The 18,664-nt window shown below is 49.0% G+C and overlaps 2 protein-coding genes across 4 annotated transcripts in view, besides 6 other annotated features; both read left to right on the plus strand.

Moving 5' to 3' along the window:
- SLC28A1 (solute carrier family 28 member 1) overlaps positions 1-13,322 on the plus strand; it is a 90,988-nt gene extending 77,666 nt beyond the window's left edge. For both annotated transcript variants that reach the window (NM_001321722.2, NM_001321721.2), the window contains one exon: positions 13,178-13,322. In NM_001321722.2, the coding sequence (NP_001308651.1) occupies positions 13,178-13,214 (37 nt within the window). In that variant the 3' untranslated portion in view covers positions 13,215-13,322. The remainder of the gene's footprint in view (positions 1-13,177) is intronic.
- Positions 14,686-14,855: an enhancer, noted in NCBI's record as "experimental_41947 CRE fragment used in MPRA reporter constructs". NCBI's record gives its function as "activates a minimal promoter by MPRAs in K562 erythroleukemia cells, with activity observed for both the introgressed and non-introgressed 15:85520329 variant alleles {active_cell/tissue: K562}" and the evidence as "EXISTENCE:reporter gene assay evidence [ECO:0000049][PMID:34662402]".
- Positions 17,027-17,528: an enhancer, noted in NCBI's record as "H3K4me1 hESC enhancer chr15:85522585-85523086 (GRCh37/hg19 assembly coordinates)". NCBI's record gives its function as "activates a minimal SCP1, AML or CMV promoter by ChIP-STARR-seq in naive H9 embryonic stem cells {active_cell/tissue: H9 hESC(naive)}" and the evidence as "EXISTENCE:reporter gene assay evidence [ECO:0000049][PMID:30033119]".
- Positions 17,529-18,028: an enhancer, noted in NCBI's record as "H3K4me1 hESC enhancer chr15:85523087-85523586 (GRCh37/hg19 assembly coordinates)". NCBI's record gives its function as "activates a minimal SCP1, AML or CMV promoter by ChIP-STARR-seq in naive H9 embryonic stem cells {active_cell/tissue: H9 hESC(naive)}" and the evidence as "EXISTENCE:reporter gene assay evidence [ECO:0000049][PMID:30033119]".
- Positions 17,529-18,030: a biological region, named in NCBI's record as "H3K4me1 hESC enhancer GRCh37_chr15:85523087-85523586".
- Positions 17,981-18,030: a silencer, noted in NCBI's record as "silent region_6774". NCBI's record gives its function as "represses an Ori minimal core promoter by ATAC-STARR-seq in GM12878 lymphoblastoid cells {active_cell/tissue: GM12878}" and the evidence as "EXISTENCE:reporter gene assay evidence [ECO:0000049][PMID:35858748]".
- Positions 18,140-18,664, plus strand: part of PDE8A (phosphodiesterase 8A) — a 158,676-nt gene continuing 158,151 nt past the window's right edge. For both annotated transcript variants that reach the window (NM_001243137.2, XM_047432657.1), the window contains exon 1: positions 18,140-18,358. The gene's annotated coding sequence lies outside the window, so the exon portion shown is untranslated. The remainder of the gene's footprint in view (positions 18,359-18,664) is intronic.
- Positions 18,591-18,640: a silencer, noted in NCBI's record as "silent region_6775". NCBI's record gives its function as "represses an Ori minimal core promoter by ATAC-STARR-seq in GM12878 lymphoblastoid cells {active_cell/tissue: GM12878}" and the evidence as "EXISTENCE:reporter gene assay evidence [ECO:0000049][PMID:35858748]".

Here is an 18,664-nt window from a genome sequence, read left to right on the forward strand (position 1 = left end):
CCTCTCAAAGTATTAGGATTATAGGTGTGAGCCACTGCACCCAGCCTTCGTTGACTCTTTATAGAGACTCTGTAAGGTGTCCTGGAAAGAGAAGAAAGAAAGGGTGGGCCTATGATTTTTTGTTTTTTGAGATAGAGTCTTGCTCCGTCGCCCAGGCTGGAGTATGGTGACATGATCAGGGCTCACTGCAACCTCCATCTCCTGGGCTCGGGTGATCCTTCCACCTCAGCCTCTGGAGTAGCTGGAACTATAGGTGCATGCCACCATGCCTGGCCAATGTTTTGTATTTTTAGTAGAGATGGGGTTTCACCATGTTGCCCAGGCTGGTCTCAAACTCCTAGTGCTGGGATTACAGATGTGAGTCACTGCACCAGGCCAAGGGTGGGCCTTTGAGAGCAGGAAGAAGGGAGAGGAAAAGATTTTTACCCCAGAAGGGAAAGGGGCAGAGTGTGACTAGGGCTGGGGGTAGGGAGGAAAGGTCTCAAACCTTGACTCTAGGCAGTGTCCAAAGGTGACAAGGCCTTAGAGGACATGGCTGCCTGGTACACTCAGGGAGAGTGGATCTGAGCACAGAGCTTTCGCCCCTCCCTCACAATTCCCACATTCCAAGGGTGACTCCAAATCAGCAGAGCCACCAAGCCTGAGGTGCCACAAGGCTGGGATGATGGATGTTCTGCATTTGCTAGTGTGACCAGTGGAGCCAGCCTGACGCCTCAGCACTGCCTAAGACCCTGGGACCTTGGCAAAATCTTGAGAATGGGGGAGGGAGACTCAACGATATGCCTGAGATTGAATTTCTTGCCAGCTCAGTGGGATAGTGGCTTAGAGTCAGATTTAAATTGAATTAGAAAAAATCAAGAAACAGGCCAAACCACTCCAGCCTTGCAATCCCTCGGGCTATCCCTAGCCACACCCCTTACTCTCATGCTCACCAACAAGCAGTGCCTACCACCACTGGATGCCCCATGTGACCCATAGCTGAGGATCTTTATACACCCTCTCCCCAGGAGTGGGCATCCACTTGTGTTTCCCTGGACAGGGAGCTTCCAATCTTCCATCCTGAGGTCCTGCTAGAATGGGCTGTTAGAATATTCCCTCACTAGATAGAGGGGTGGGGAAGCAGGAGTCCAGTTTCAGAAGCAGGGAAGGGACTACAGTCATAGCGAGTGGTGGACACGTGGCGGAGGGTGGGACACCCTTTCACAAAGTGGCCCATCACACCACAACACAGTATGGGACAGGGCTGGCTTCTCTTCAGCTCTGGCATGGCCAGGGAGGGTACCTACCTGGGGTCCAGCTGCCCCCCCGAGCCTGTCTATCAGCCATTGTACACCAGGCCAGTCCATGATGGGGTTCACCCAGGATGAGACCTGGACAGCAGCTGAGCCATGCAGAGCAAGTGGGTGGTTAAGAGGCAGATGGTCCAGTTGGTGCTTTCAGGCAAAGTGCCAGCTCCTCATCATGGCTCATGAGGATGCTTAGATCCAGCCCCTGATGACCCCCTATTTCACCTCTAGCCATTTCCTAGCACAGCGCCTCCTCTGTCCTAGCTCCAGCCTCACTGAGCTGCTTTCAGTCCCTTGAAGGAGTTGCACTCTCCTTCCTCTCGGCTCTTCCACAGGCTGCTCCAGACGCTTGACCACTCCTTTCTTTCATGTACCTAATTCCTACTCATCCCTCAGGACCCAATGTGGCTGTCTTCTCTAGGAAGCCATCTGAACTTATAAGTTGAGTTAGGAGTCTGTTCTGGACCTCCCACAGCACCCTGATTCTCCTGTCTTGGCCCCTGTCATACCTTGTGAAGTCTTGTTTAATCATCTATCTCATACATGTCAGTATGCTTCTGGGGGAAGGAAATGTGTCCATCTTGTTTAAAACAGTATCTTTAGGGCTTGATGTCTAGTGAGGGAGGAAGGGAAGGGGAAGGAAACGATAAGGGCATGGGAAGGAAGGATGGAAGGAAGGAGGGAAGGAAGAAGAAAAGAAGAGAAACAGGGAAGGAGGCAAGGAAGACATTGAAGGAAGATTGCCCACTCCTTTCAGGGCACTCATTGCCCCAACAGATCTTCCCAGCAGGAGCAGCTGCACAGAGATCACCTATTCCTTCCTCTCACTCAGTAGGAGACATGCTCTTTATTGGTTAGAATGATTGACATTACCCAATATCAATTGCAAGTAACAGTGCATTCAATAGAAAATGGTTTACATGATGTGAGATTTTTAATATCTCACATAGTAGCAACTCCAGGGGTAAGTGGCTCCAGGGTTAATCCAGGCATCAATGATGGTACCAGGGACCCTGGCTCTTGCCACCTCTCTGCTCTGTTATTTTGATTTTATCCTTGGATTGACCCCTTGTGGTCACAAGATGGCTGCTGAAGTTCTGGACATTACACCCAGACAGGGCCATGACTAGTAGAAAAGGCTTTTCCTCCCATGCATTCATTAGATGGGAAGAATCTTTCCACAGAAGCCCCAGCAGATATTTCTTTCTATCCTGGGATTAAGCCAGAGGCCCATGCTGTAGCTGCAAGGGAGGCTGGAAAAGCAAGTGCGTCTGCAGCTGGAAGCAGACTGCCAACATAGGAGCAGGAGGGAATGATTGATGCTTCCCTCTTTGTCTTACCTGTAAGGCTTGAGACTTCCTTGCCTTTGAAGATCCTCAGTATGGAATGCCAGTGCTTGGACCTTGATATGGTTTGGCTGTGTCCCCACACCCAAATCTCATCTTGAATTATAGTTCCCATAACCCCACGTGTCATGGGAGGGACCTGGTGGAAGGTAATTGAGTATTGGGGGTGGTTACCCCCATGCTGTTCTCATGATAGTGAGTTGAGTGAGTTCTCACAAAATCTGATGGTTTTATAAAGGGCCTTTCCCCCTTTGCTTGGCACTTCTCCTTCCTCCCACCATGTACAGAAAAATGTGTTTGCTTCCCCTTCTGCCATGATTGTAAGTTTCCTGAGGCCTCCCCAGCCCTGCAGAACTGTGAGTCAATTAAACCTCTTCCCTTTATAAATTACCCAGTCTCAAGTATTTCTTCATAGCAGTATGAGAATGGACTAATACAGACCTGCAAGGCAGTTTTTTGGTGGCAATACATGGAAGTCTCCTCTCTGGATTTAGGCTGGAGACTGCTTGTTGATTCCAATAGCCATTTTCCCTTCTTTTCTTATAAGTGTATAGTTGGATATATGGCCACCCAGAATAAAATCAACATGTCCTGGCCTCCTTTGCGGTGGATGGGGGCACATAACTAAGTTTTGGCCAATGAGATGAAAGCAACATGCTATATAACTTCCAAAGTATACCTAAGAGAGGGCCATGCACTTCTTCTAGGATGACCAACTTGTCCTGGTTTGCCTGAGACTTTACTGGTTTTAGCACTAAGAGTCCTGTATCCTAGGAAATCTCTCGGTCCTGGGCAAGCCAGGATAGTTGGTCACATTCTCCATCCCTTCCTCTTTCCTTCTGGCTAGAATGTAAGTGTGATAGAGGCCATTGTGGAGCCCCAAGTGGAAGCCACATACTGAGGATCTCACAAGATTAGGCTGTTAAGCTGGAGGGAGGCGGGGAGGGGGGGGAAATATTAGGCTGCTGGAATGGTGCAGGCACATTGATTTTAGGTTACTCAAATTGTTTCTATAGAGAGGGGTCCTGAGCCTAGATCTCTGATTAATCCCTTTAGGTGTCAGTGATCTGAGAGAAAAACAAACTTCTATGTTGTTGGTATTTTTTAAATGTAATTTTATTCATTTATTTATTTTTGAGACAGAGTCTTGCTCTGTCACCCACACTGAAGTGCAGTGGTGCAGTCTTGGCTCCCTGCAACCTCCACCTCCCAGGTTGAAGCGATTCTTCTGCCTCAGCCTCCTGAGTAGCTGGGATTACAGATGCCCACCACCATGCCCAGCTAATTTTTGTATTTTTAGTTTCACCATGTTGGCCAGGCTGGTCTTGAAATCCTGACCTCAAGTGATCTGCCCGCCTCAGCCTCCCAAAGTGCTGGGATTACAGGTGTGAGCCACTGTGCCCAGCTTATTTATTTTTTCTTTAGAGTCAAAGTCTTGCTCTGTCACTCAGGCTGGTGTGTGCAATGGCATGATCACAGGTCACTGCAGCCTCGAATTTCTGGGCTCAAGCAGTCCTCCTGGGGGTCTTGCTATGTTGCCTAGGCTGGTCTTGAGCTCCTGGTTTCAAGCAATCCACCTGAATTAGTCTGTTTTCATGCTGCTGCTAAAGACTTACCTGAGACTGGGCAATTTACAAAAGAAAGAGGTTTAAAGGATTTACAGTTCATATGGCTGGGGAGGCCTCACAATCATGGCAGAAGGTGAAAGGCACATCTCACATGGCAGCAGACAAGAGAAGAGAGCTTGTGCAGGGAAACTCCTTTCTAAAACCATCAGATCGTGTGAGTCTTATTCACTATCACGAGAACAGCACAGGAAAGACCTGCCCCATGATTCAATTACCTCCCACCAGGTCCCTCCCACAACGTGTGGGAATTCAAGATGAGATTTGGGTGGGGACACAACCAAACCATATCACCACCTGTCTCAACCTCTTGAGCACCTGGGACTACAGGAACATGCCACCATGCCCAGCTAAGTTTTTTATTTTTATTTTTTTTAAGAGATGGGGGGTCTTGCTATGTTGCCCAGGTTGGTCTTGAACTGCTAGTTTCAAGTGATCCTCCTGCCTCAGCCTCCTGAGTAGCTGGGATTATAGGCATGAGCCACCATACCCAGCCCTTCTATGTCATTTTAGCTTCTGTTATTTTGGATTATCTACGACCTGCAGCTGCAGCAAATCCTAACAGATAGAGAAACAGGTCTAAAGCCTTGGAGGATGCTGGGGTGTTGGAGATCCGCTTTGTTACGTTGCTACTTGTGCACATTGGGGAGCAGGTGTTAGTCCTGAAAAGTTAAATTGTTTTCCACACAGGTGCTTCAGGGGCTGCCTTGGGGGATGAGTGGCTGACATTATGGTAAACTTTCTACCCCCCACCTCACCAAAGGCTTCAGCCTGAGTGGTTCCTGCTCTCGCTTCTTTTAGCAAAAGGGTTTCCTTCCTAAAAAACAATTTGAAAGCCACTGGTTCTTAAAGGAATAGTGATGGCCTGACCCCCTGTCATGCTCTGACCCTCCCCTCCCAGCTATTTTGCCACTTCTTGCCAATTTACATATGAACTGCACAAATTCATTCAGACACAGACATAATAGTGAACTTAGAAACCAAAAAGAAACAGGAAGTTAAATCCTAGAAAAAGTTGCATCAGCCTAAATCCCTAGGAGAGACTTGGCAGCAGACGTTGTCCCTTGTAGCAGCCCCGTATGGGACTTGCTGCTACAGGGACCTCTCTGGGGGCCATCACCTTGGAAAGGGAACCTACGAGGCCCTGGGGTGTTGCATTATGTCCCAGGTGACTGTTGTTTCTAAGAAAGTGTCACTGTTCCTGGAAATACTGGCTTCAGGTGCACCTGTGCAACCCAGGAATTGTCTGGGTTTGTGGGTGAGTCTGAGGGTAGGCTGCCAGGCTAGGGAATGAATATGCAGGCAGGGTTAGGGACAGACGCACTAGACGCACTTCAGAGGCTCGGGCAAAAGAAGGGCTAAGATTTAGTGAATCTTGGAGTCAGGATTTCCTATCTGGTCCACTGTTGGTTGGTATGGAAGATACAAGCAGAGCCCTGTACTTGAGGAATCACTGGGGACCAAGACACCCAGGACAAGGGGCATAGTTTAGGGGATTTCTGAAGCCTGTACAGGTAAGCAGGGCTGGGCTATCTCTCCCAAACTCATCTGGCTAGAACCCATGTGGCCCATCTAACCCTTGAAGAGAGGACTTGTTGTTTCCCATCTCTGCCACTTCCTGGTTGAGCCTCAGTTTCCTCTTCTGCAGCATGGGGTAATAATAAAGCTTGCTTGATGGGTGTTGTGAGGGTGGGATGCAAAAATTCAGTCTGATGCCTGGTTTGGTGTGGCTTAGCTGGTTGTTCTGGCTCAGGGTCTCTCACGCTGCAGTCATCTGAAGGCCTGACTGGGGCTGGAAGATCTACTTCCAAGATGGCTCACTCACAAGGCTGTTGACAGAGGCCTCAGCTCCTCTCTACATGGGCCTCTCCTTAGAGCTGCTTAAGTGTCTTCACGACATGGCAGCTGGCTTCCTCCACAATGGGTGACCCAAGGGAGAGAACAAAGTGGAAGCCACGATGTCTTTTATGGCCTAGCCTTGAAAGTCACATGCTGTCACTTCTGCAGTCTCCTATTGGTTACATGAGCCAACACTTTCTAACATGGGAGGCAAGGCTACCAGGAGGTAGGCAGCATTGGTGCCATCTTGGAGGCTGCTACCACAATGACCTAATTGAGCTGTGGAACCAATCTTGAGAACGATCTGTTGCCTTCTTGTTAAGTGATGTAAGAAGTCCTGCTGTTATGTTACTTGTAACTGAGAACATTCTGATATCTCATCCCCAAAGTTCTTTTTCTTGGTTAAGGTAGCCAGAGTCAGATTGTGTGACTTACAACCAAAGCCCCTGACTGATCCCAGAGAGTAAGCCCAGCCCATCAGCCCGGGTAAGGGGAGAGGGAAAGGAGGATCCTGAGCTGGGGCACCCTCTGGGACACTCACTTTGAACCTGAAAAACCTGACCTGGTCTTCTAGGATCCAAGAACAGGCACTGTGAAGGGAGAGAAAATGTGGCTTTTATATGCACAAATGGTCATGGTTAGTTAAAAAGAAAAAGAAAAATGCTTGTATAGTAATGATATGACTCTGGTTCTGCCAGCTTCTACAGCTGGCTCTGTGGCTGAGTCTCTGCGGAAGGACAGAATCCTTCTCCTTTCTGATTCCCTGCTTAACTTTGGTATTGGACTAGTTCCAGCAGAGATTCCTAGCAACCAGGAGAATTGCTGAGGTTGCCACCACGGGCCAGGAGAGCACCGAATTTATACAAGTCAGGTCTCCTACCAAAGATAGGCCAGAAAATCAGGATTCACTCAGTCCTCCATCGCCTTCATGTGGGCCCTGGCAAGCCTTCACGCTGAAGAAGGAAGAGAAGCCTGTGTGAACTCAGCCCTCTCTGATCTTCTGGATCAGCTGCAGCTGGGAGCACAGTGGCTGGGTTGTCCACAGATGCTGGCATCACCATTGCTGCCAGGTCTGGTAATTATGTGCTGGGAAAGGGAGCACCCTGCCCCCCGACTCGGACTTCTGTAATTTGCTGGATCCCAAGAGCACACATGTAGGGGGCAGACTGCAGGGTCCCAAGCACAACATGCAGAGGGGCAGGCTGCAGGAAATGACCCAGGGTCATCTTCATCCAATACTGTAATCTTTTGTATCTGTGAGAAGCTGTAGGCGGGTGAGACACTGAAGCATTTCTTAGAAACAATAACTATTTAGCAATAATCTCCATCGCTATGTAAAGGGCTTGGGCAAAGGGGTGTAGTGGGAGAGAATGCAGGATCCCAGGGGTCCTGGCTATGCCACACATGTATGGCATAGCCTTCAATTATTTCTCTCTCGTCGAGCCTTGATTTCTTTCTTTGAAAACAGAAGAAGTTGAATCACAAAATGTTACATGTAATAAGGACAGAGGGATTTGACTAATGGCCTAATATGTAAAGTACAATGCTTCTGGCTGCAAGTGACAGAGGACCTAACTAGAAATAGCTTAAACAACAAAGATGTATTACACCAAGTAGCAAAGAGTTCAAATGTTGGATGGTTCTAGGGTTGGTGAATTTCAGCAGCTCTGTGATTACACTTGGGACAGGGACGCAAGTTCTTTCCATCTTTCCATTCTGCCATCCCCAGGTGCTAGCAGCTTTGCTCATGGATGGCTGAAACAGCTCCAGGTATTGCTTTCTCACCCAGTCATTCCAGAGGCAGAAAATGGTTAGGTATCTTTCTCGAGTCTCTTTTTTAGAAGGAAGGAGACTTTCTCAGAAGCCCCTCTCCACACCATCCTCCAAGACCACCCCATACATCTCATTGGCCATGGTTGCGTCACATGCCCGTGACTAACCAATCTCTCACATGTGGAAAGGAGTGACCACAGTTGGTTGAAACCAATCAACCTTGACCCTTTGTGCATGGGAAGGGTCTATACAGGACAGGAAGAAAAGTGGGAAGTAGGTGAGGGGGGAATAGATGTTGGTTGGACAGAAAACGAACTGTGTCTTTTACGGCTCAGCTCCTCCCCTCACAGATGGGGACCTGAGCTTGAGCGAGATTTCCTCAAGTCAAGTGCCACAGGACTTGGTGGCAGTCGGGGGTAAATTTGGTTCTCACCTTTTGCTTATGGCCTAGAGCAACTCGAGCATGGAACTAAGAATCTGATTCTCTGTGAAAACTTTCCCTTCTAAAATCATCTTAAGGGTCGGGCACAATGGCTCACATCTATAATCCCAACACTTTGGGAGGCAGAGGCAGGAGGATTGCTTGAACCCAGGAGTTTTAGACCAGCCTGAGCAACATGGTGAGACCTCATATCTACAAAAAAAAACAAAAACAAAAAACAAAACAAAACAAAAAAATATAAAATCACCTTAAGTCCATGGCCAGTCTGAGATGTAATTTTCAGAGCTGACTCAAGCCTTTGACGTCTGTTATGCCTCCAGCCCCAGTGGAATGCCAATGAGAAGTTCAAGGGCACAGTGGGCAAGTGCTCTCCTGGCCGGCTGCAGGTTCAAATGCCATCACTGCCTTATCTGCTGTTTGTTGATCTCAGCGAACTATTCTGGCAGCAGCTGGCAGTGATACCATCTGCAAATGACAGTAGCAACCCCTATCAGGCATCCCTGTCAATGAGACTGTATCAGTCAGTGGCCAGCCAGGAAAATGGAAACCACAGAGATATTTCAAGTTTTAATGAAGAGGATTGGTTACAAAGCTGTTGAAAGGGCTAGAGAACAAAAATATGATAAGGGGTGCCATAGTCTGAATGTTTGTCCCCCTCAAACCTCATGTCAAAATTTGATCCCCAGTGTTGGAGGTGGGACTGAAAAGGAGGTGTTTTAGTCACAGGGAAAGATCCCTCATGAATGTGTTGGTGCCATCCTCATCCTCAATGAGCGAGCTCTTGCTTTATTAGAGTGTTCTCACAAGAGCTGGTTAAAAAGAGCCTGGTCCATCCCCATCTCTTTTACTCCCTCTCTCACCATGTGATCTGCACACACCGGTTCTCCTTCCCCTTCCACCATGAGAGGAAGCAGCCTGTGGCCCTCACCAGAACCAGATGCTGGTGCCATGCTTCTTGTACAGCCTGCAGAATGTACACCAAATATACCCCACCCCTCCCCTCCCCTCCCTTGTTCTTCTCTTTTCTTTTTGACAGGGTGTCACTCTGTCACCCAGGCTGGAGTACACTGGCACGATCTCAGCTCACTGCAACCTCCACCTCCCAGGCTCAAGCGATCCTCCCACTTCAGCCCCTCAAGTAGCTGGGACGCCAGGCACGTGCCTCCATACCCGGCTAATTTTTGTATTTTTATAGAGACGGGGTTTCATCATGTTGCCCAGGCTGGTGTCGAACTTCTGGGCTCAAAATCATCCCGCCTCAGCTTCCCAAAGTGCTGGGATTACAGGCATGAGCCACCACACCCAGCCCTCTTTTCTTTATAAATTAGCCAGCTTCAGGTATTCTTTTACAGCAATACAAATGGACTAAGACATGGATGTTTCCCAGGGATTAGGAAGCTGCTTTATTCCAGGCACCCATACATGTCATTGCTGAGCTGCTAGAGGGGCTGCCCCCACCCTACACAATAATCCAGCCCCTAATCCAGCCAGAACCACTGGCACTGCCAGAGCCAGAATGGCTTTTCCCTTCCTCCAGCCTTCTCATCTCTTCAGTACTTCCACTGGCCAGACCCAATTAAAAACCAATTGGTTGGAGGAAAGGGATGGAAAGAAATGGATTGAGGCCCCAACAGATCATATGTGGAACAGAAACATGTGAGATGATGATCAATAGCATAGATTTCAGACTCAGAGAGGCCTGGGTTTGGGTCTTCACCCTGTGACCATGGGCAAGTCACCTCCCTGGTGTAAGACCTAGTTTACTCATCTATAAAATAGGAATGATGATATACCCATTTCAGAGTATTGTTGTAAAGGCTCAAGAAGAAAATTATTATAAAGGACTTTAGCAGTGTCCAGCATCTTAGAAGGGGCTAAACAAATGTCAGCTGCAATTGTGTTCATTACCATCTTCATCATTATCATCATCACCTTCACAATAATCTCAATACTTCTAGCCACAGCCTTTGCAACAAGCTCCTAGGCCCCCTTGCATCAGGGTCCCACTGTACCCTTCTAGGGGTAGCCAGGGCTTTCAAAGAACTTTTACTAAGACTCCTTTGGACTTTCAAGACATTCTCCAATTTCCACGGAGCTACATTGGTAGCTATGCTTCTATTCTCCCAACTGAGAAAATGTGAAATAACAAATGCCCCCATGAATTCAATAACACCTTTGAATGACCACGTAATTTACCAAACACAAAGGTGTATACACACATTTGAAAAATAGATCTCTCTTTTTCTGTGGGAGGGGTTATTTTTCTTGTCAGCCAATGATGAGGATGAATGGACTCCTCCCAGGAGCCTCCTCTCTGACCTGGGGCTACCTCCTTCACACTTAGAGCCTGTCTGCTTGAGTGTGGACTCGTATTACTCCAAGGCTAAGGACCAAAGTCCTTGTCATGGCTGACAAGGCCCTGCATGGTCTGACTTTATGCCTTGTCCACCTCTTCCACCTCATTTTTCCACTTAGCCCCTTGTTTTCTGTTCTTAGCTATCCTGGCCCTCTTTCAGTCCCTGAATATGCCCTGCTCCTTCCTCCCATTTCAAGGCCTTTGTACTTTCTTTTACCTCTGCCTGGAATGTTCTTTCCCCTATTTTTTAATCTCATTACTTCAGACTTATCCCCCTAGTCCAGGCGGGATATTTTTGGTTGCAAGAGACTAAAAACCAGACCCAAAGTGACTTAAGCAAAAGCAGAAATTAAAAGTCCAAGCATAGTTAGTTCTGACTTCAGGTATGTCTCTATCCGGGGCTCAACCATTGACATCAACACCCATTAACTCTAGATTGGCTCATGTGTCCATCTCCAAGCCAATTGCCATGGCCAGGGAAGCGGCACATGCTAAATATCCCACTCATGAGTTGAAGAAAAATCAGATACAGTTCTAAGAAGGATGAGTGGGTGCTGGGCATGCAGACAGTGATCCACTCATGTCTTACTCAGTTCAGGGAAGTGCTCTTGGTGCCCACCCTCCACCCTCCAAGATTAAGTCAGTCCCTACTGCGATACACACTCAGAGCTTCCTGTACATCACAGCACTCATCATCTTGTAATTATACGCTCGCGTAGTTGCATGATGTCTGCTTCCTGCACCAGATTATGAGCTCCGTGAAGTCAGGGGCTGTTTTGTCATCACTGTATTCTCAGTGATGAAAAAGGCATTCAATAAAGAGTACGCATTTTAAGAGATTCATCTGCGACCCTGGGTGTGTCTAGGCCCAGCCTACTGCCTTGACTTTTCCAGCCGCACCACCATTAAGGTCAGAATCTTCCCCTCCACAGTCTTCTCTTCAAGCAGGCTTGGGGACGCTCACACAGGACACATCTCCCCTGACAAGAGAATGACAATTTTCCCATGGGACCTGGCAGGCCTGTGTCCTAGAACTTGGAGTGAATGATTCAGGCCAGCAGAGGGGACTTGAATCAGGAGGGGAGCCAGGGAGAAAAGGAGGGTCACTTTGGATTAAGAACTTTAAAAAGAGTGATTCACGATCGTTGCGGCTGACATTTAAAAAGCCTCACATACTTTTGGTAACCAGTGTGCTGCTTTGCATTTTGCCTCACATTTACCCTGGGAATGAAGCAGCCCTCAGTTGCTCTGAGGTAGATCGTATTTCGTTTTCTGCTTCTCAAGTATCGGTGATGTTTGGCTCCTCAGTTTCCCATATTTAACTTATTGCCAAAGCTTATTTTCATGGGAGCTCTTGCACAGTGGAGACATTCTGGGCTTTGGTGTCAGGCAGGCCACGGTTGGCAACCCAACTTTGCCATCTGCTGCATGACCAAGGACAAATTACTTAACCTCTCTGTCTCCATTTCCTCTCCAATCAAGTAACGATGCTAATGCCAACCTGGCAGGGGTTTGGGGAGGTGTAGATGGGGATGATTCTGTGCAACCTCCAGCTTTAGCCAAAGCTATGGTGGGATTGTGGAAGGCAGGGGGAGAAGCATGTCTTGTGTGAGGGAGGAGAATGGGGATGCCAGCAGGGCTCAGGTTTTGCTCTGTCCTACCCTGGTGCAAGTGTTAGTCTGAGTCCTCAAGAGAAAGTCTTGGGCTCCTTGTCCAGATATGGATTCCATAAGACACAGGGCACAAATGGTGTAGCTTTAGGATGCAGGAGACAGTGTGGAATGCTCGGTGTGTTGGGGAGTCGGGGATTGTGAGGGAGGTCTTGGAAAAACCAAGACTCGGTTCCCTGGACGTGTGCTATTTCCCCACTGAGGCCTGAAACCCAGAGGAACTTCTGGGGCCTCAGCATTTCCCATACCAGGAGTCAGTGCCTGGGGCTCAGCCATTAACATGGTACAGGGCATCAGGGTAGGGATAGTGATGGGGTGATCTCACTACCTCCCCTTAGACACCCCCAGATATAACAGGGTGAAACCTTGTTGGAGGCTGGAGGCCTGTGTTAAGTAGATAGAGGAAGAACCAGAAAAATATGGGTTCTGACTACTCCAGTAATCCCAGGTGAGGCCTGGGTGACTTAGGTTCCATATGAGGGCCAACATAGTACTCAGCACTTACTGTGATTTTTGTTATTTTATTTCCCAATTGAGTATTTCTAGAATACAGTAGCAGTGACACATACTTTTTTACTTCAAATCTGGCCACTTTAAAGAACTGTTTCGTCTTAATGACTTTTGAGTTGATTCCCAGGCATCTTTGACATAAAGTCATGTCACCTGCAACTAATGATGTTATCTCCAGCCCCAACATCTGCGTTCCAGTTTCTAACTCATGTCTTATTGCACTTCTCAGAACATCTCGACAACATTAGATAATAGCAGCGATGGTTGTTGCCCCTCATTTTATTTCTAGTTCCATTAGTTATGTTCCAGTAACGTGTTTCTTGCTCTTAGGATATTCAAAAGTACACCTGCCGAGTCCCAGCCCTGAGGAGTGTTTTCGTGCTTCATTGTTAAGTATCTTGGAGGCTCTCAGCTGGAAATAAATGCTCTTCATTTATTAAAGAAGCATCCTTATATTTTTAAGAGTCTTTGAAAAGAATGAGTTTTGTGTTTTATTAAGGACATCAGCTCTGGTTCTAAAACAAAACAAAACAAACCAACCTGTGTCTTTATCTGTAAAATGAGCTAAGAGGTATGGAGGAGCAGCAAAGGTAATAGTAACCACAGACATGTTGAGGGTTAAATGAGCTAACACGTGCCAAGTGCCTGGCAGGGAGTCCAGTAGCATCAGGCTGGCAGGTGTCATCGCTGTCACAGGTCCCATCCGGGGCTGTCCTGACACACTGCTCCCCTCCTCCAGGCCAGGAGGCCCCAGGCTTCTCCCTTGCTCCTCCCCTAAAATGACATGGCCAGCAGGGATCCCAGGGGCCATTAGCCAAGTGCTCTTTTGGAATTTGGCTGAAAGCCACAGGCTGGGCAGTTGGGAGGCTGGATAGACTGGGATGAAGACCCCCAGGGAAAGGCCAAAAGCTGGAGGACCTTGGGTGTCCTGGCTGTGCCCATCCAGCTGTGGGACCTCAGCATGTCCCTGGGCCCCTGGGCAGCCTGTTTCCTGAGGAGATAGTCTCTGAGGCCTGGCCTACCCGCTGGGACCCGCTGAGTGAGACGCAGGGCTGAGCTGGCCCAGAGCACAGTGGGGAGAGGACTCTTGTTATATAATAGATAACGACATGGCTTGCTTGAGCAGATCCTGTGAATTTCTCCAGAGCCACCATATTACTCCAACACACTCCCACACTGCTTCTTTCCTCTACATGCACCTAAATGGTGTGCTTTTTAGGGGGACAGGGATGGGCAGGACTAGCTGAATAACGTGTGGGACCCATTGCAAAATGAAGTGTGTGGGGGCCCTTTGTTCACCAATGATTAATAATTTCAGGCAGGGCGCCATGGCTCACGCCTATAATCCCTGCACTTTGGGAGGCTGAGGTGGGAGGATTGCTTGAGGCCAGGAGTTTGAGACCAGCCTGGACAACATAGTGAGACCTCATGTCTATTTTTTAAAAAATTTGGCTGGGCACGGTGGCTCACGCCTGTAATCCTAGCACTCTGGGAGGCCGAGGCGGGTGGATCACCTGAGGTCAGGAGTTCAAGACCAGCCTGACCAGTATGGTGATACCCCGTCTCTACTAAAAATACAAAAATTAGCTGGGCGTGATGGCACACATGCCTGTTATCCCAGCTACTCAGGAGGCTGAGGCAGGAGAATCGCTTGACATGGGAGGCACAGGTTACAGAGAGCTGAGATCACACCACTGCACTCCAGCATGGGTCACAGAGCGCGACCTCTGTCTTAAGAAAAAAAAATCAAAATGGTGGCCTCAGAGCATTAAACCAAGAGTGAGACCCTTGTAGACACAGGCCCTGTGACTGCAGAGGTTTCACACTCACGAAGCCAGCCCTTAGGGTACGAACAGACACCCCCCAGAACACTACCTATTAAGAACTTCGGACAAGAAACTTCCTTGCTGTCGTAGAAACCAACAGTGCAGTCATGCGGCTGTGAAGGTGGAAGGTGGGGAATCCCAAAGGCCTTGGTTTCATCATCACAGAAAACCTCATCAGGAAGGTCAAGTTGTCGGGACTGTGAGAGTGCTAGTGGCATCTGGGTCCATGTTGCTGAGTTCATCTTGACCTTCCTGTATTTTGGGTAGGTGAACCCCTAAGCCCCTAAGTACCTACCTTTGCTAAGCTCAGTGAAATTGGATTTCTGACATTTAAAAATATAGCAGTGTTGAGAATCCTGGACTTTATCCAGTAATTGGGAGAGGATTTGACTCCCTTGCCTGGTGGGAAGCAGGGTGGAGTCAAGAGGAGAGGGCATGCGGGGTGAGTATTGGGGACAGAGCCATTTGTTGGAAGATAAGTCTGAGACTGTGGCAGTTAATAAGGTCATTTTGAGAAAGGGAGTCCATACTGAGGTGTTAATCCAGGGCTCCAGCTGAACTACAAAAACCAAGGTCTGGAGGGAGATGGATACAGGTGCACACCTGAACTCTGGAGGTAGAACGAGGGTCCTCCCGGGGTTTTACTCCTTTACTATTCTGGCCCCAGAGGTGCTGCTCCCTCTAAACTTACAGTTTTCCCTTAAGGGTGGTCACTTGGTCCCCCCCTTATCTAAAAAAGGCTGGAACATTCAAGAACACTTTACTAAAGGCTTGGAAGTACCAAGAGAAATAAAGATAAGGGTGCCCATGAATCTGGAGATGACCGAGAGGCCTTTATCTGGAGATGGCTGGACCCCCCTTTTCTAGGAGCAGAGAGGGGATCCAGGGAGTTCTCCGTTTTAGTCTCTCAGCTTCTGGTGGCCTCTCTCTCTTTCATTTCCCCTCATCCATTCTGGAGCTGAGGGGGTGAAGGGGATAAAATACCTTTAGATCAAGCAATTCCACTTTTAGTTCATCCTACAGAAAAAGTTACATTCAAGGATGTTCACTGTAGCTGTAATATTGTAATAGCTGTGCGTGTGCAAGTGTGTGTGTGTGTGTGTGTGTGTGTGTAATATATTTTATGTAGAAACAGGTCTGGAAGCATACAGTCCAAACTGTTAACAATAGTTACCTCTACGGAAGGAAGGGAGTGGGGAAGGAAGAGAGACTTTCCTTTGCCTCTGTACACTTTATATACTTCTGCTTACTTCGGATTTTTTTTTTTTTTTTTTACCATTTTTCCATTATGTATTCATGTGTATAATTATAAAATGTGTAATTTAAAAATAATGAAACTTAAAAATCATATTATACAAAATTTTGAAAGTTCGAGGAAAGAACATGAAGTCAGATACCATAGATTTGTAGGGCTGTTAATCCCCATGGTAATTTCATTTTTTCCACCAGTTTTCAGCAGTCTGGGGGCAGGACTGGAGGAAGGTGATGTTAAATGGACCCGGGAGAAGGCAGCTAAGGCACAGGGGCCTAGTTGTTGTTCTAGGCATTTGACATCAGTGAGCCCATTTACTCTCTGAGGTAGATAGTAGTCCTAGATTTACAGTGGAGGACAGTGGCTGGGAGAGATGAAGTCAGGAGCTCAAGGTCTAATAGATGGCAGAGCTGGGATTCAGACCTCAGGGTGTGGAGCTCTCTCACTTGTGGCTGCCTCCAGCATGGTTCAATGGGGGAAGGCAAGGAAAGGAAGACAAAGAACTGGGTGCAGGTGGCACAGTCTTTGAATGGCTGACCCCTGGGTGGAGACGGAGATCAAGCCAGGAGGGAGAACTGGCTGTACAGAGGCTCAGGTTTAGTAGAAGAGGTGTGGAAGCAGAATAGGTTTGGATTTTAGACAGGCAAAGCTGTGAGGGACCCGGCATCTGCATGCCTTTAATGAACAGGTGAGGGGGGCCATGAGGGCTAAGGAGTCTCCTGGGAATGGACTGACCTATAACCCACAAATCTGTGCCAGTCACAGGGGTAGGAGGGAGGCTGGGCCTAGGTCCTTTGGTTTATCTCCTTTCCCAGCCCCATTGACCTCATGCTCAAGTCCTGGAGTAAGAATTGAAGCAGACATTCAGCTACAAGTCTGAGTCTTGTGGAAGTCAAGCAGTTCGGGCTGGGGGTCCCTATACCCGGGCAAAATGGATTGGGGCAGCTGGTGAAGCGTGTTCCACTTTGTGCCACGGAATAGTGAGGCTGAACATGGCTGGTGTGGTGGAGGCAGCCTACCTTCCAGCAGTACTGGGATTGTTCATGAGCCCTCTAGACACCTGGTAGGGATAGGATTCTTTGCAGGGGCCTGGGAGTCTTGGGTGACTTTGTGGGTGGCACACGCCAGTGAGGTTTGGGTTACTTCTGTCAGTGTGACCCATTTTCAGTCCACTGTCACAGGGTACAGAAGTGTTCAGGGACCTCAAGGTGCAGGTTAGAGCCAGGGGAGGAGGGGTGGGGTGGAATTGATGTTAGGTGGTTGGAGCTGAGAGGAAGCCTGTGACTTCCTGGAGTGTCCCAGGCTGAGGTTCTGTGTATGGGAAAAAGTGGGCTGAGACTCCAGAAGCAGGCAGATGACTCCTATTTTTCCTATCTGCTTCTGCATCATTCATAGCCCCAGGTCTCTAAGTCTAGGGTCCCAAAATTGCAGAACTGGAAATTAGTTACAGCTTTCCGGGAACAGAGAGGGTAAGTGACCAGCTCAGGACAGCACAAGGCAGTCCGGGCAGTCAGCAAGGTGTGGGGCGGTGCACACGGGGCTTTTCAGGCCAGCTGATCCCCCAGCCCTAGTCCCCAACTCCTTCATTTAGTGCATGGCCCAAGGACCAACAAGGGAGGCGGGACGCCGAGGTCCTGCCTAGGAGGGGAGGGCCGAGAGGACTAGAGCTGCTTGGAGCCCCAGAAGCGGCAAGGTCAGCGCCGGGAGTCGTCAAGGCCGTACTTCTCTGCAGGGCGGGGAGGAGAGGTCGCGCTTTAAACTTCCATGAACTCTGTTGGTTCCAAGCATTTTCTCCATGAAGTATCCTTTATTTACAAGAGCTCCAGATTCTACCTGGAAAAAAGACCTCTTAAAATTGCAGAGCAAAGGCAGAAAAAAATTATACGATTTAGGCGGAATAAAGAGTGATGTTTAAAAATCTTTTCCTTTGTTTTTTAAGACATCTTCACCAAGCCAGTAGTACTTTTATAAGGCAGAGAAGCATAAATATTAATATTGCTTAATGGGCTTAAACTTGGTAATAGAGCCACGTGCCAGTGGTTCGGGGCAGTTTCGCCAGTAACGTGCTCTCGGGTTACCCTGCTCGGGCCAGAGATCGAGGCTCCGGGGACCCGGCACCTGAACCTGTGCTGCAGTCCCAGCGCGACAGCAGGGAATCCAGCCCGCAGCACGCCTCCGGGTCTTTGCAGTAGCCGGGCCAAGGCGGGAGCGGCTGCCTCTCAGGGTCGCTCCAGGGCCGCGCTAGGAAAGGTGTGGACGGTCGGAGAGGACAGGAAGGAGCCGGCTGCACCGCGCCAGGGTCTCCGCAAACCGGGAGCCCAGGGAGGGCGGGAAGACTGGCGGGGGTCCGAGGCAGCCCGCTACAGGATACGTGATGGACGCCCAGAGACACCGCCCTCCAGCTGGTGGGGGAGGAGCCCCAGCCACCAAGAAGTTAAGTGACTGGCCCAGTTCACACAGCAAGCTAGTGGCTGTGTGCGTGTCCGGGGTCCTCATGGGCCCCAGGCCTGCAATGCGTACGCCCCTTCCCCTGGCTCTGCCTTTGGGGTCTCGGACGCCCGACTAGCACTTTGGTTAAAATGAGAGGAGGACGGGCGCCTGCAGCCTGCCCGGTGCTGTAGCTTTGCGGCCGCCCCGGCGCCTGTGTAATCCGAGGCGTGGCGCGCCAGGTTTTGGCCTGCGAGGGAGCGCACGTGGGCTGCGGCTTCTCGCGGACGCCCAGGCCCCACCCACCCGGGA

The sequence above is a fragment of the Homo sapiens genome, chromosome 15, assembly GCF_000001405.40.
Source record: "Homo sapiens chromosome 15, GRCh38.p14 Primary Assembly".
Classification (NCBI taxonomy): domain Eukaryota; kingdom Metazoa; phylum Chordata; class Mammalia; order Primates; family Hominidae; genus Homo; species Homo sapiens.